We start from the raw sequence: 14,679 nt of genomic DNA on the forward strand, positions 1-14,679 counted from the left end.
AGTCAAAAATAGACAGCTATTACACAACCTTAGCTTGAGGTCAAATTCTACCTGATATGTGTGGGTTTTTTTCCATTAATAAATGTTTGCTGTCAAAAAACTACTCAGAGAAAATCACAAGTCAATAGACTACAGAAAACAGAAGCTCAGTGAATAAAGAAAATATAAGTTCAGCAAAAGCAGTACCATCCTCTTGAGAAATGAATACGAAAAAAAGACAGCCTTACTACAGCTAATCAAGGAAGAATAAAATGTTTCAAAATTCAAGTCACAGGTAGAAGAAGATGGTCAAAAAGGAGAAATGTGTATTTGTATATAAATACCTTTAAAGAAGAAATACTAATAACTGCATAATTATATATGATACTTAAATATCATTATACAATAGTTGATTTTTTTAACTTGCAAGCCTGTTAATCTTCAATAACTCAGATTGCAGATGTGATATATTTAAAAATAATAACATTTACTGAGTGCTTACAATGGAAAAGACACTCTTCTAAGTGCTTTACATATATTATATGCTACTGTTATCCCCATTTTACAGATAGAGCGACCAAGTAAACTACAGAGAAGTAACTTGTCCAAGGTCACACAGTAAATAAATAAAGAGCCAGAATTTAAACTCGGGCATTCTAGCTCTAGGGAACCAGCTATTATCCTCTATGGTATTCTGAATTTGTAAAGAATCTGAGATGGCTAACCCAACTGTTTATATTTCCTTAAGTTTAAAATCAACTTAATTAGCACAATATTCTCAATACAAACCCAACCTACATTATTCTCATATTTCCTCTTTCACATAGGAAGACATGAGGCACTGAGTATCATTAACCAAGGTTAAAGAAGGTAGTTTTAAAATGTTTCTCAAAGAACGAATATCATTCTCTTCTTAAAACCAAAAGGAATATACAACAATTATTTGTCAATTTTAAAAACTAAAATATAAATTTTTTGAGACAAGGTCTCGCTCTGTCACCCAGGCTGGAGTGCAGTGGCACAATCATGGCTCACAGCAGCCTTGACTTCCCAGGCTCAAGTGATCCTCCCACCTCAGCTCCACAAGTAGCTGGGACCACAGGCATGCACCACCACACACAGCTAATTTTTTATTCTTTTTAGAGACAGGGTCTCACTATGTTGCCCAGGCTGGTCTCAAACTCCTGGGCTCAAGTATTCCTCGCACGCTGCCTCCCAAAGTGCTGGGATTACAGGCATAAGCCACCGTGCCAAGCCAAAATAATTTTATTTAAAAAGAGCAAAATTAAATCTATGTTAATGATGGTTACCAAAGCTCCAACAATCCAGGCTCCCATTTTCTTGGCAAAGAGATAGTTTCTAGAATATGAACTGAAGCTTATTCAGTCTTGTAGCTTTCATGTCTAATACTAAGCAACTAACAGGTCACAAACTGCTATATAAAAAATGTTAGGGGTAATGTACAAATATGGGGGAGGAGATAAGCAGAGAAGTATCACTGCAGAATGAGAAAGTTCACATAAAACTTCTAGCACCATTAGGTTTCCTCATCTATAAAAGGGTCTAAGAACAGTCACTTAATGTTTTGAAAATTAATGACTGCAAAGAAAATATATCACAGAAATTATTTTGTTTTTTAACAAAGAATATTTCACTAAACCCAATACAGAAACAACCTCAAGAATTTTATTAATTGTATTAATTAATTTTATTAACACCATATATCTATGCTCAGTAAGTGCAATTCTGAAGTTCCACAGGACTAATTCATTAAAATTATTATGAAAACTACACATATGTGACAAAATGATTTTTGATATAGTACAAAGGCAATTCAATAGAGAACAGGTAGTCTTTTCAACAAATGGTGGCAGAGCAACTGGACATACCTGTGTAAAAAAGTAGACTTCTATCACACTACCCACCATATTCAAAAATTAACTAGAAATGGATCAAAGACCTAAATTAAGAAATATAACTAAAAAACTTCTAGAAGAAAACTTAAGGGAAAAATTCTGTAACTTTGGATTAGGCTAGGATTTCTTAGATACAACACCAAAAACACAATTCATAAAAGAAAAAAAAAACTGATAAACTGGACTTCGCTAAGATGAAAAACCTCGACTCTTTATTAAGAGAATGAAAAGACAGACCATGTGGGAAAAATATTTGGAAATCGGTATCTAATAAAGGACTTGCATTTGGAATATAAAGAACTCTCAAAATTCAATAATAAGAAAACAACCCAACTTGAACAATTTCAAAAAATTTGAAAAGACAACTCATCAGAGAATATATACGGATGGCAAATAAGCATATGAAAATATGCTTAGCAACATGTGTCATTAGGGAAATGCAAGTTAAAATCACAATTAGATACCCCTACACTCCAATTAGAATAGCTATTTTTTTTCACTTAATCTGACAAGACTAAGTGCTGGCAAGTACTCAGAGCAGCTGGAATTCTCACGCAGCAACCTCACTCCTAAGTGTTTACCCAATATAAGTGAAAAGTTATGTCCAAACCGAAATTTTCATACAAATGTGTATAATGGCTTTATTCATAATCACCAAACACTGGTAACAACCCAAATCCAAATGTCCTTCAACTTATTAATGAACAAATCAACTGTGGTACATTCACATAACAGACTAGTGCACAGCAATAAAAAAGAAAGAACTACTGATACACATAATATCATGAATAAAGACCAAATAAAATCAAATTAATATTGTTCATAGATATGAAGTTGCTGAATGACCATGTCTTTTTTGAAAATCCGTATTGACTGACCTCCCTTAAGAGATTCTATAAGTATTCACTTATTCCAATGTAATTGCTCTACAAATGATAAACACAATAAATGTTTTATGATTGTGCCAGAAGGTCTAGAGTTACTCTTCTCCATCTGTAAAATAAAGTACAAAATCATACACAAATTATCTTATATATGTTCTATCATTCTTGTATATGTCTCTATAATCAACATATGGTTTTCTGCATATGCCCATTAAGTTTGAAATGTAATTGTTTCCAACAGCATTCATTCATCACTGCATCTACTCCAGGTGAACAATCATGAATGCAAAATATTTTTATCAAATCAGACCTAATGGCTTATCTATTTCCCTTAATTTTGAATTTTGACTATTCTCAATTAGTACAATTTCTTTAACACATACACCAAACCTCTCTCATTTTAAGAAAAACTAAAAGTCATTTGAAACCTGACATTCAGTCCACATTTCCCCTCATATGACGTTTTTCTCCTTTGTTTTCTGAAGTTCTGTCCACTCTGATCCTTTAAGTAGAGTAATAAATCCCTATACCTCAACTCTTATCAAGCTTATGATTTTTAGGATAATTCATGTTCCATTTTCACTTATGTCTTAATGACTAATTTCAACTGTAGTAACTGAAAATAGCAAAAATGTTTTATGTAATAATTTCCCCAGAATCTTCAGAAAGAAAGTGCAAATTTCAAGTTCTGCCTTTTTGAAAAAGGTAGCAACTTTCCCCCTAAAATTTCCTCAGATTTTAAAAGCTGATCTTGTTCTTTATTTTTTTATTTTTTTGCATTTTTTCTCAAAATTCAGTTGAGTGTATTTGTGTGGCTCTATTTCTGTGTACTCTATTCTGGTCTACTGATCTACGTGTCTATTCTTCCACCAATACCACATTGTCTTTATTATAGTTACATAGTAAAACGTAATATCCAATAGAGTAATTCCTTATTTTATTTTTCTTTTTCAAAATTGTTTTAGAGCTTCTAGGTCTTGTACTTTTACATATACATTTTAGAACATGCTTGTCTGTTTACAAAACAAAACAAAACAAAAAAACAGACTTGCTGGGATTTTGTTGACATTTATTTAACTTAAATAGACAGGCATGGCTATTGAATCAGCACATCTGACTGCTGATCTAATATGGTTGCTAACAACGTATCTATATTCTCTCCTTATTTTCAATATTGTCCTTAGGGGGGAGATAGCAATGTATAGAGGAAAAAGCATGAATTTAAAATAATCTAGGTTCAAATTCCAGACGTATTTCCTACTAACTTGCATGTATCTTTCTATTCTGTTAAAAAGACATAACTGTCTTACCAAGATGTTTTGAAGAATGAATAAAACTGAGATAATCTATGATGCATCTAGTACTAGCTGGTACATAGTTCATGCTCAATAAACGCTATTATCTCTTTCTCCCTTAAGATTCGATACCTTTAAATGGAATGGATTCCAACGTTTTTTCAGGTTAAAAAATTTGTATTGGGTGTTTAAATTGCTATATTTCCTCTTAAAGTTTGTCTTCAATCACTTTACAGGAGAGGCAGAGGGATTTCTTAGTAATAATTACCCATGGGTTTTGAAATTTTTTGTTAGAGATGTAATGGGATATTTGTCATTCAAAACAGAGTCACTATCTCCTTACTCAGCTAGTAAAATGGGTGAACAAGTTATTTAACCTCTTAGTTATATGGCTGAACTATATCAAAACTAGCTACGGTACTAAATTTTGTTTTTAATGCTACTGGAAAAGCAAATTCCTCAAAACTAAAGAGCAAGAACATACAGGGCAGTTCAAACAACCCAATTTGGCTCCAGTCATATCTTAAAACAACAACAAAATAAAACACACAGAAAAATATCACAATTCACAGATAATTTACTGCAGAGCTAATTGCTAGCTTACAAATTAATATTCTTTTTTTCCTATTGAATAATGACAACTACGTGACTATTTCTTTTTTTACTTTGGCCTAGAGCTGTGGTTTTTAACCCTGGCTGTGCATCATAAGCATCTGGGGAATAGATGCCCAGGCCCCCTCTAGATTAGTTAAATGTGAATCTCTGAGTGGAACACTGGCATGGATAATTTTTTTACACTCCCAGGTAAATATAACACACAGCCAGAGTTGAGAAAAACCAGCTAAGAAAACTCAAGGCCAAATTTATAATTCAACTATATTTTAAACATGTCATAGACCCTTACAGCCTGCTTATTTGTGCTCTATTTTACCCTTCATCCCCTACCCTCCACCCTTTTCATATATCTCCTACTTTGTTTTCCCTTATCCTCAATATCAAAATAGTTATCAGATTATATTTCCCATATACCATCTCAAATGCTTGGTAAAATGAAGCAAATCACAAGTAACACACATGCACTCTACTCCACCTTCCCTCTTTCTCTGTCTCTCTCTCTCTCTCTCTCTCTCTCTCACACACACACACACACACACACACACACGTGCACACAAAACTACAGCAGGACCTGTTTCTAATGTAGAGATACAGATTAAAATCTAGCAGTGAAATCAGTTACAGAATGTCTCCAGGGCAATTTAGAAAACGTCTCTTATCTGCAAAAGCCAGATTTAGCTCAGCTCTCTAAATCTCTCTCCCATCTAACTCCTTTCCTACCTAAAAACAAACAAAAATAAAGAAAATACACAACAAAAAAAAATATTGGCAGCAACAGTAAATAATCCTTGGAAATAACATAAATGAATAAACATTACATAGCAAATTCTGACAAAGTACTGAAAGGCTTATACCTCAAGATTCCAAGTGCTTATCAAATCTTAAGAACCGCTGCTACATACAATGATAGCACCAAGAAAGAAATTACAGGAAGGGAAAAAAATCTTGCATTTCCTCATCAAAATTCTAGATGAGAGAGACTATGAGAGGGTAGGTACTAAAACAATATGGCCCAGAAAAGCAACTACACTATCAGTAGGCCTTATCATGGAACACAGAGGTAATGATTAGCTCTCTTGATGAACTAATCAAGGTAGGGAAATATAGAGGACCTGCCCTGAAGGAACTGACCTGAATATTTCCAGATCAGACTGGCTTAAAGAAAGATTGACTTGGAGGAACTGAGAAGGCACCTGTGGCAGGGAGGGGCCACTGCCCTCTGACTCCTCCCCGCTTGTCTATTCCAAATAAACCTGGTGAAAGCATAGAAAAAATACAGATGTCCCTGCTCTCCTTCCACATTCCAGAAATAAGTACTGGTCATTATTTTCAGAATAGGACTCTGTACTCACGGCTGCTGACTACTGAAGATGAACATTGGTGAAACAAGAATTACAGGCCTAAGGCCCATTTAAAAAGAATTAAAAATGTTTTAGCTAGTAATAAGTGTATTCACCTTTGGTAGTAAAGAATTTAAGCATTCTAAGCACGATCAGAAACCTTCAGAGTGGAATGCTATTATTCAATACAATATTAGAAAGGGGAGATTTCATTTTAGCTTTCTATCTCCCTATACTGCAAAGATCTATTTATTTTTATATTAGTCTGGTGGCTAATACAGAGACTTATATTGGCAGGTATGCATTAAATACCTGTTACATTGAATTAATTCCTACCAGGACGCTTCTAATCTCAATTGTTTGTTATTTCTTTTTACTCTCCAACATCTAATCAGTTACCAAATTGTAACTATTCTACCTCTGCCAGGTCTCTCCCATCAGTCATCTCTTTTCTACCCCTTCTGTACTAGTTCAAAAATCTCACTACTACTTCCACTAACACAATAGCCTCCTAGCTGGAATTCCCCACCTTCCATATCTCCCCCATTCCTCACTACCGTCAATTATTTTTCAAAGCACAAATCTAATAATGTCACTCATGTCCTCAAAAACCTTCAGTGGCTCCTATTTATGAGATAAAATTGAACCCTTAAACTGGCTTAAAAAGTCCCATTCAACCTGGGCCTAGCTTACCTTTAATACATTCCTTATCTCTCACTATATCCCCTCTCCCACATCACAGACTTACAACAGTATCAGATTCTTCCTTCTTTCAGAACATTTCCATGCCTTTTCTTATATTGTGCCCATCCACGTGAAATATGCTCCTTTCATCTGTCTGTGAAAATATTATCACTTTCTAATGCCCTGCTCAAATTCCACCTCCTTCACAAAGCCTTACCAGATCCATTCCTAAACCACCACCACCCCCACCACCACCACCACCACCCCATTGTTGATAATCTTGTGCCTTTTACAATAACAATTTCCATACATGCCTGTCTTACTACCTGAATGTAAACCTGTGGGGGTAGGGTGGGACTCTGTGGTATATTTTTAGGCATTTCACATTACAGCACTATGTACAGCACTGCCTTGTACTCAATAAATGCTTCATGAATTGAACCAATTCCTACCATGACAAGAGTTCAGAATTTTTTTAAAAAATTAAAAATTTCAATGAAACACCTCATCAGCCAGATATAATAAATGAAATTATCTGTCTCTTCTTATCCTTCCACTGTTTCTAAATATAACTTTGTATTTTATCTCTGGATCACCCTATCTGTGATTACAAACATTCACAGTGAGAGCACCACTATACTTAGATGAAATGATCAAATTTAGGAAGGGGTCTTAAGAAAAACTGCTTACGAAATGGAAGGCTGCGGCTAAGGCCATGGTTATCTGAATCCCAGGATTTTAACATAGATGACAATAGTTCAGACTTTAGGGGCATGGGAAGAGGCATGATGACTGTGGGAAAAGAGAAGGAACTATTGTGTACTAGAGACTAAGTGCAAAACATCTTGCTAAGTTTATTAAACCCAGCACTGAATTTTCTTTACATAACAACTCTTGAAGATGTTTTTTCTCCAACTTATAGACAAAGAAAGTGAGGTTCAGAGAGGTTAGGTAACGTGGATTGTGTCACATCATGAGTATGGCATGGAGCTCGGACAAGAACCCAGATTTACCTGCCTTCAAAGCTGTTCTTTCCTCTATTACTATAGGGTCTCATGAAAATTAATTAAAACTAGAAGTTTTTCCCAAATTGGTTTTATCAGTAAACTACATACTCTCAAAACTAATTTGTTTAGACAGGCATGGTTGTGAGCACCTGTAGTCCCAGCTACTCGGGAACCTGAGGCATGAGGATTGTTTGAGTCCAGGAGTTCGAGGCCAGCCTGGACAATGTACAATGACATAGAAAGACCCTGACTCAAAAAAAAAAAAAAAAAAAAAAAACTAACTTGCTTAAATAAAAACAGCATTGCTAAAGAAATAATATAAAAGTACTACACGTTTACTATGATATGAAATGTGAAAATTACATCATCAACTTGATAAAGAAGCACTTGGTTCCTCACCAAAAAACAAACAACTAAGCGAACAAACTGTAACATGCATGGCATTAAATCATGAAAAGTTCACATTAGTCAAACAGGTTGTTCTTTATGATCCTTGCCCAGGAATGACCAATACCCATCCCATCTCAAGTAAAACCTCTTTCTTGATCCTGACAGAATCCAGTCAAAAGCTTAAATTGTGACTGCGTGAGGGGTGATGCCCTTTGAAGTTCCTATTCCCAGTAGACCTCATTGAGACAGTCCCTGCAAGAGCTCTCACAATCAGTTTCTTGCTTACCCTATTTCCCCTCTTCTAAGAACTCTCTTCCCAGAAACCAAAAGATTCCAGGTTTCCCCTTTTCAGGCCCATTCTCTACCTCTCACTGGAACCAAGCTAGTTATTGGTTGAAACCTGACACATTTCACCACAGAACAATTTTACAAACAGTGGTTAGGCTCGGCATCATTATACCTCGCTATTATGTACTGATCTAAAAATATAAGTACCCTTAATAAGTTTTTCCTGTGGGAAAACATGTTAAGAGTCTCAAACAACCAATTTACACACTTCTGAATGATAATTCAAAGGTTAACAACTGTCCATGCAAGCAAGACAGGTAAAAGATACAAAAAGACTCCAAAATATATGGTAGTGTCTATAATCTTTAATCTTACCAGATTCAACACACACAGAAATGGACGGAAATTATTTCTTTTGACATTAAAGTTAACAGATTCTTACCTACATTTTCTTTAAGGATTCTAGCACATTTTAAAAATATATATTCTACAACAAAAACACTCTTAGTCCTAAAATTATCACAATTGAGGGTTGTAGAGCTTGTACTCAAAATTAGCATTTTTAAAGCCAACATCAACAAATTTGTAATTAAAATATAAATTATCAAAAGTAAACTTGTTTACTTCTTATCAAAAGAATATAATTAAAAACAAACAAACTCTTCTAAGTACTAAGTGGGTCTGTTCAAATGTAGCATTTAGTTTTCACCTATAATATTTTTTATTAAGTAACTTGCAGGGTTAAATCTAACCAATCATAACTGTTTTAGAGAAAGAAGGCAGAAATACTATCTTCACCACATTACCTTCACCTTTCGTTTTACTTCATAGGGATTAACAATTTCCACTCGAGTATTTTTCCAAATTGCTGAGGTAGAGAGACCCATTGTTAAATCTCTACAATACCTAAAACATACTGCAAACAATAAAAAAACCATATGTGGTAATTACAATTTAAAACATACTACATTCAAAGTTAACAGAAATAATAAAATAGTAGGCATGCAAAAGGATTCCCACCTCCCATCCCATCCTTATATCAAAGCATTTAACTGTTTTTATAAACTAAATGCCTATAAGTTCAGTAAGTTACATACATGAATATAACAAAGTTCCTCTCCCCTTCAATAGACTTGCTAGACAATTGTGCAAACAGTTAGCATTCCCACATTTCAACAAGAAAGGAACGCCTATTCATTTATCTTGTTCTTACGAGATGTAAAATATTAAAACGTATATTGGAATTGCTTGGTTTACTAGTAAAATATTTCCTGTAAGTATAGAGGGTTCAGATTTAGGGTACTTCTGAATTTATTTCCACTATATTCCTTACCACATGTTATTCTAGCATGTAATCTTAACCCCAGTTTAGTTGATAAATAACAAAAAAATTTAAAGAAAAAAAAACAAGGTAATCATACAACAGCCAAATGTGTATTTTTTTTAAATGGAGCAAGTACTTGAAGACAAAGTTGCACCCTTTAGATGTCGAGGATTGAGAGTCTTACCTCAAAATATCCTACTGTGAATCAATTTCACCAACTATTTTTAGGAGGTGTATGGTGGCCTCTACTGGAGTAGTACGCAGTCGATTAAGTTATCAGAAAAGGATCCAACTTTCTATCACAAAAGACACGTTTTTGTGTTTAAATGCTGCCCGCTTTTATAACAACAATAAAAACAAAGCACCTGTGTACATCTAAGTTCTCACTGCACAGCTGACCAAAGCCCAACCAGAACAGTTTCAGAGTAAGAAGAGTGGGAAGAGAGGTGAACCAAAGTATTTTGGTTGAACCTCGCTAAGTCTTACCAAAGATTCGACTTATTTATAAGGGCTGGGGTTTACTTTGCGTCTTCTTTTACAGACCAACGGGGCAGGGACAGCGGTTGTGGAAAGGAGAAGGGGTGGAGCAAGAGTGCAGTAGAATCAAGGGGACCTGAGAGGAAGCAGTAGAACATCACCTGAAACCTGGCGACTGGAGATAGGTCGCCAGTGTATCTCGACATGGGTCATTACAAGGAACCATAACAAGCCACAGAGAAACGAGAAAGCTGTTACCAGGGAACACTCGTGCCTATGTGCAAATGTCCCCAGAGTTACTTAGTCACCTTGGTGTGTTTGTTGCACTGGGTTCGTAAAGCGTCCGGGGTTCAACAGCGAGCTGGAGTCCGCAGCTGTCCCCCAAAATGTTCCCAGCCAGCAAACTAGGCGCGGCGGAGAAAAAGGGACGCGCGGAGTCAGGCACAGCACCCCGCCAGTCCCCCAGTTCCCCTTCGGGTCGGAAAGTGAAGAAACTTAGTCACAACAACTCTGGCGTGGCCCGCCAGGCAGGCGCTCCGCCCAAGGCCGAGCCCGGGCCCAGGCTGCACTCACTCCGCAAGCCCGAGCCCGCCGTCTCATCCCCGCCCGCTCCCCAGCGAAAGGGCAGTGGAGGCAGCATCAAGGGGGCTTGCCCGGGAGCCCGCTTCCCGGCCCTACGCCTCTCCTCTCTCCGTCCCCAGCCAAGGTCTTGAGGGGAAGGAGGCGGGGGTTGGCTCCAGCCCGTCTTGGCCACCACACTAACCTCGCCGCTGCTCGCGCCGCCGCCGCTGAACACTTCCATTTCTCGGTCCCAGGGCTCGTCCTGAGGAGCGAATGGTAGCATCTCCCCTTCAGGAGCACTCAAACAGGAGCTGCCGCCTACCGCTGGCGCGGCCGCGCATCCTGTCTATTGAACTGGCCCGCCGCCGCCGCCGCCGCCGCCGCCGCCGCCGCGACCCCCAGCCCCGCCTTCAGCGAGCGCTGCCCTCGCCGCCGGGTCTCTCAGAGGCTGGGAGCTGGGGGTCGCCGCCGCCGCCGCCCGGTGATTCCCATAGAGAAGACAACTCTGTGCTGCCTCTCCAAGAGCTGCCGCTCGGCTCGCGCTCACCACTGCCACCACAACGACAGCCGCTCGGTGGTGACTCCCCCAACACCCCACTTCCTCGGGTCCCCTCCCCGCTCCCTGCTCTGTCAATATGGCGGCAGCGGCGGCGTTACCTGTGCGGCGCCTGGACCCCCCCACGGCGGCGGCACAGCGGCGTCACCCAAACGTCAATGGAGATTCCCCAGCTTGGGGTGAAGGGGGCGGGATAGAGGGGCGGGGTGGATGCGGGGGACCGCGTGGTGGGTGGTGGGATAGAGGGGAGGGGGGCGTGCTGGGCTGGGGAGGCGACTGAACAGTAGTAAAAGCCCCTGCTAGCGCCTCGGTAAACCTGCCCACTCCACGGAGCATGCGCAGCGCTCTTCACACATGCTCAGCAGGCCCTCTCAAGTCCACGGAGCAGCATTGCTGGCGGGCGGCAGGATTCTCAAAAAGGATGCTGGAACTGGGGGACCCTCCAGAGCACTTGAGGAATCAGGGTAAGGGTAGGACTCCAAGAGTATCTCTTTGCAGGGCTCACGAAGAGCAGGTGTCTTATATGCCAAACCACGCCCATTTCGATACTTAGTGACAAATACTAGGGCAGGGATTTTAGTACATCATACATTATCCTCCTAGAAGGTAAAGGCAGGATAACCCCCATTTAAAAAAATAAATATACCTGTCCTCTCTAGCCCCCACCTTACTTGTCCCTCTCAGGATGCTCCTGCTGGTTGCCTTCACACTATTGATAACACACAATGTTTCTCTTCACACATGCACACACACAGGCAAACATATGCCACTTAATGAACTCCACTTGTGGCAACAAAGGCATGATTCCGAAGCTAGCCCATCCTCCAGCCCCCTCTGAGAATGTTGGGTCTGTAGTGACAATAATCATAGTTTTTAGTACCTTCTTCAAAGCGAGCTTTACTACTTCGCTACTCTAAGCCACACATTGTACTGGGAGCTGGCGATATAACAGAGATAAAGTATAATCTTATACGGGGGATAATCAAGATGCTTCTCATCAAAACACTTCAGAGCTGAAAGTTTAAAAGTTATTCCACATTTGACACTTCAAAGACTTAAAAGAGCAACTGTAACAGCGGCTAAACCAACTCAGGACCTTGGAGAGGTTTCTAACGTTCATAAAAGGCACACCACCCCCTTTACCCTTCTACACCTAGGGCTGTTGACCTATGCCCTCCATTTATTTCATCATCTGGTCTCAAGAGCTAATGAAGCAAAGCTGGCCACAGAGATTGCACTGAATTACAAACAAGGATAACTGATAATGTCCTCTCACTTACTCTGCTGAAAATCTCGAGGAGAAAGTGAGCTTAACGAACAGGGTTCTCTAAAAGTCAAAGCTTCGAAAGTAGTGGGTGCATGGGGCTATAAATCGTGAAAATGTGTGAGAGTGTGTGTGTCTGTGTGTGCACGCACACACCCATAAACTCATATTTGGCTGAACTGACAGTATTAACTAGGGCCAACTTTTTTTCTTTTTCTTTTTTTTTTTTTTTTTTTTGAGACAGAGTCTCATTCTGTTGCCCAGGCTGGAGTGCAGTGGCGCGATCTTGGCTCACTGCAACCTCTGCCTCCCGGGTTCAAGCGATTCTTCTGACTCAGCCTCCCGAGTAGCTGGGATTACAAGCGTGCGCCACCACGCCCGGCTAATTTTTGTATTTTTAGTAGAGACAGGGTTTCACCATGTTGGTCAGGCCGGTCTCGAACTCCTGACCTTGTGATCCGCCCACCTCAGCCTCTCAAAGTGCTGGGATTACAGGCCTGAGCTGCTGTGCCTGGTACTGCCAACCTTTTGAGCGCTGGGTCTCATCCATCCCTTCTTGCCTACTCAAAGGCTTTGTTCTGCAACCCGCCCCCCCACTAACATCATCTATTTTTTTCTCTCTACTGGATCTCTCCCGTCAGCAAAAACATGTTATTGACAGCTTGCTTGAACACTTGCTGGCATTTGATGTAAGTTCATGACTTACTCTTTCTTTAAACATTTTCTTTACTTGGCCTCTGGAACGAAATAATGTTTGTTTTTCTCCTACATCATTGTTTCTCTTATACATCTTTCTGTCTCCTTTACTGGATCATCCCTCCTCTTCCCAATTCTGCCTATTGGAACTTCAAGGTTCAGTCCCACCCTCTTTCTTTTTCAGCGTTCTAGGTATTCCCATATCCCATCCATACCTGATATGGTTAGGCTTTGTGTCCCCACCCAAATCTCATCTTGAATTGAATCCCCATAATCCCCATAATCCCCATGTGTCAAGGGAGGGACCAGGTGGAGGTAAGTGAATCATGGGGGTGGTTTCCACCATGCTGTTCTCATGATAGTGCCTGAGTTCTAACAAGATCTGATGGTTTTATAAGGCGCTCTTCCTTCCTTTGTTGGGCACTTCTTCCAGACGCCATGTGAAGAAGGTACCTTGCTTCCCCTTTGCCTTGATTGTAAGTTTCCTGGGGCTCCCCAGCCATGATGAACTGTGAGTCAATTAAACCTCTATTTTTTAAATAAATTACCCAGTCTTGAGCAGTTCTTTATAGCAGTATGAAAACAGACTAATACAATAAATTGGTACCAAGGTAGTGGGGTGCTGCTATAAACATACTGGAAAATATGGAAGCGACTTTCAAACTATGTAACAGGCAGAGGTTGGAACAGCTTGGAGGGCTCAAAAGAAGACAGGAAGATGTGGGAATGTTTGAAACTTTCTAGAGACTTGTTAAATGGCTTTGACCAAAATGCCGATAGTGATACAATGAAGTCCAGGCTGGGGTGGTCTCAGATGGAGATGAGTAATTGTTGGGAACTGGAATAAAGGTGACTCTTGGCTATGCTTTAACAAAGAGACTGACGGCATTTTGCCACTGCACTAGAGATCTGTGGAACTTTGAACTTGAGAGAGATCAGTTAGGGTACATGATGGAAGACATTTCTAAGAAACAAATCATTCAAGAGGTGACTTGGGTGCCCTTGGAAACATTTAATTTTATGCATTCACAAAGAGACGATTTGGAATTGGAACTTATGTTTAAAAGGGAAGCAGAGCATGAAAGTTTGGAAAATTTGTAGCCTGACGATGTGATAGAATAGAAAAACCAATTTTCTGAGGAGAAATTCAAGCTGACTGCAGAAATTTGCATAATTAACGAGGAGCCAAATGTTAATCGCCAAGATAATGGGGAAAATGTCCCTAAGGCATGTCACTTTAAGATCTCATTATATACAAAGAAAAGTTGGCCTGCTAATAACAACTTATTAGTCTATATAGTTGAACATAATTAAAATGCCTTTTATTCTGATGCCCTGTTAAGGAATCAGACTATGAAAATGGGCAAATTTGGAGGTGTCTACAAAAGATTATATATGTGTAT

At 39.2% G+C, this 14,679-nt stretch overlaps 1 protein-coding gene across 9 annotated transcripts in view; it reads right to left on the reverse strand.

Annotated features, from left to right (window-relative positions):
* The window catches only part of RPS6KA6 (ribosomal protein S6 kinase A6), a 130,154-nt gene extending 118,511 nt beyond the window's left edge, over positions 1–11,643 (reverse strand). For 2 of the 9 annotated variants that reach the window (XM_011530919.3, NM_014496.5), the window contains exon 1: positions 10,963–11,343. Coding sequence is in view for 6 of the 9 variants with exons in the window: in NM_014496.5 (NP_055311.1) it covers positions 10,963–11,043 (81 nt within the window). In the remaining 3 variants the exon portion in view is untranslated. The other 7 variants (XM_011530917.3, XM_017029424.2, NM_001330512.1 and 4 more) reach the window with 7 other exon arrangements.

The sequence above is a fragment of the Homo sapiens genome, chromosome X, assembly GCF_000001405.40.
Source record: "Homo sapiens chromosome X, GRCh38.p14 Primary Assembly".
Taxonomy (NCBI): domain Eukaryota; kingdom Metazoa; phylum Chordata; class Mammalia; order Primates; family Hominidae; genus Homo; species Homo sapiens.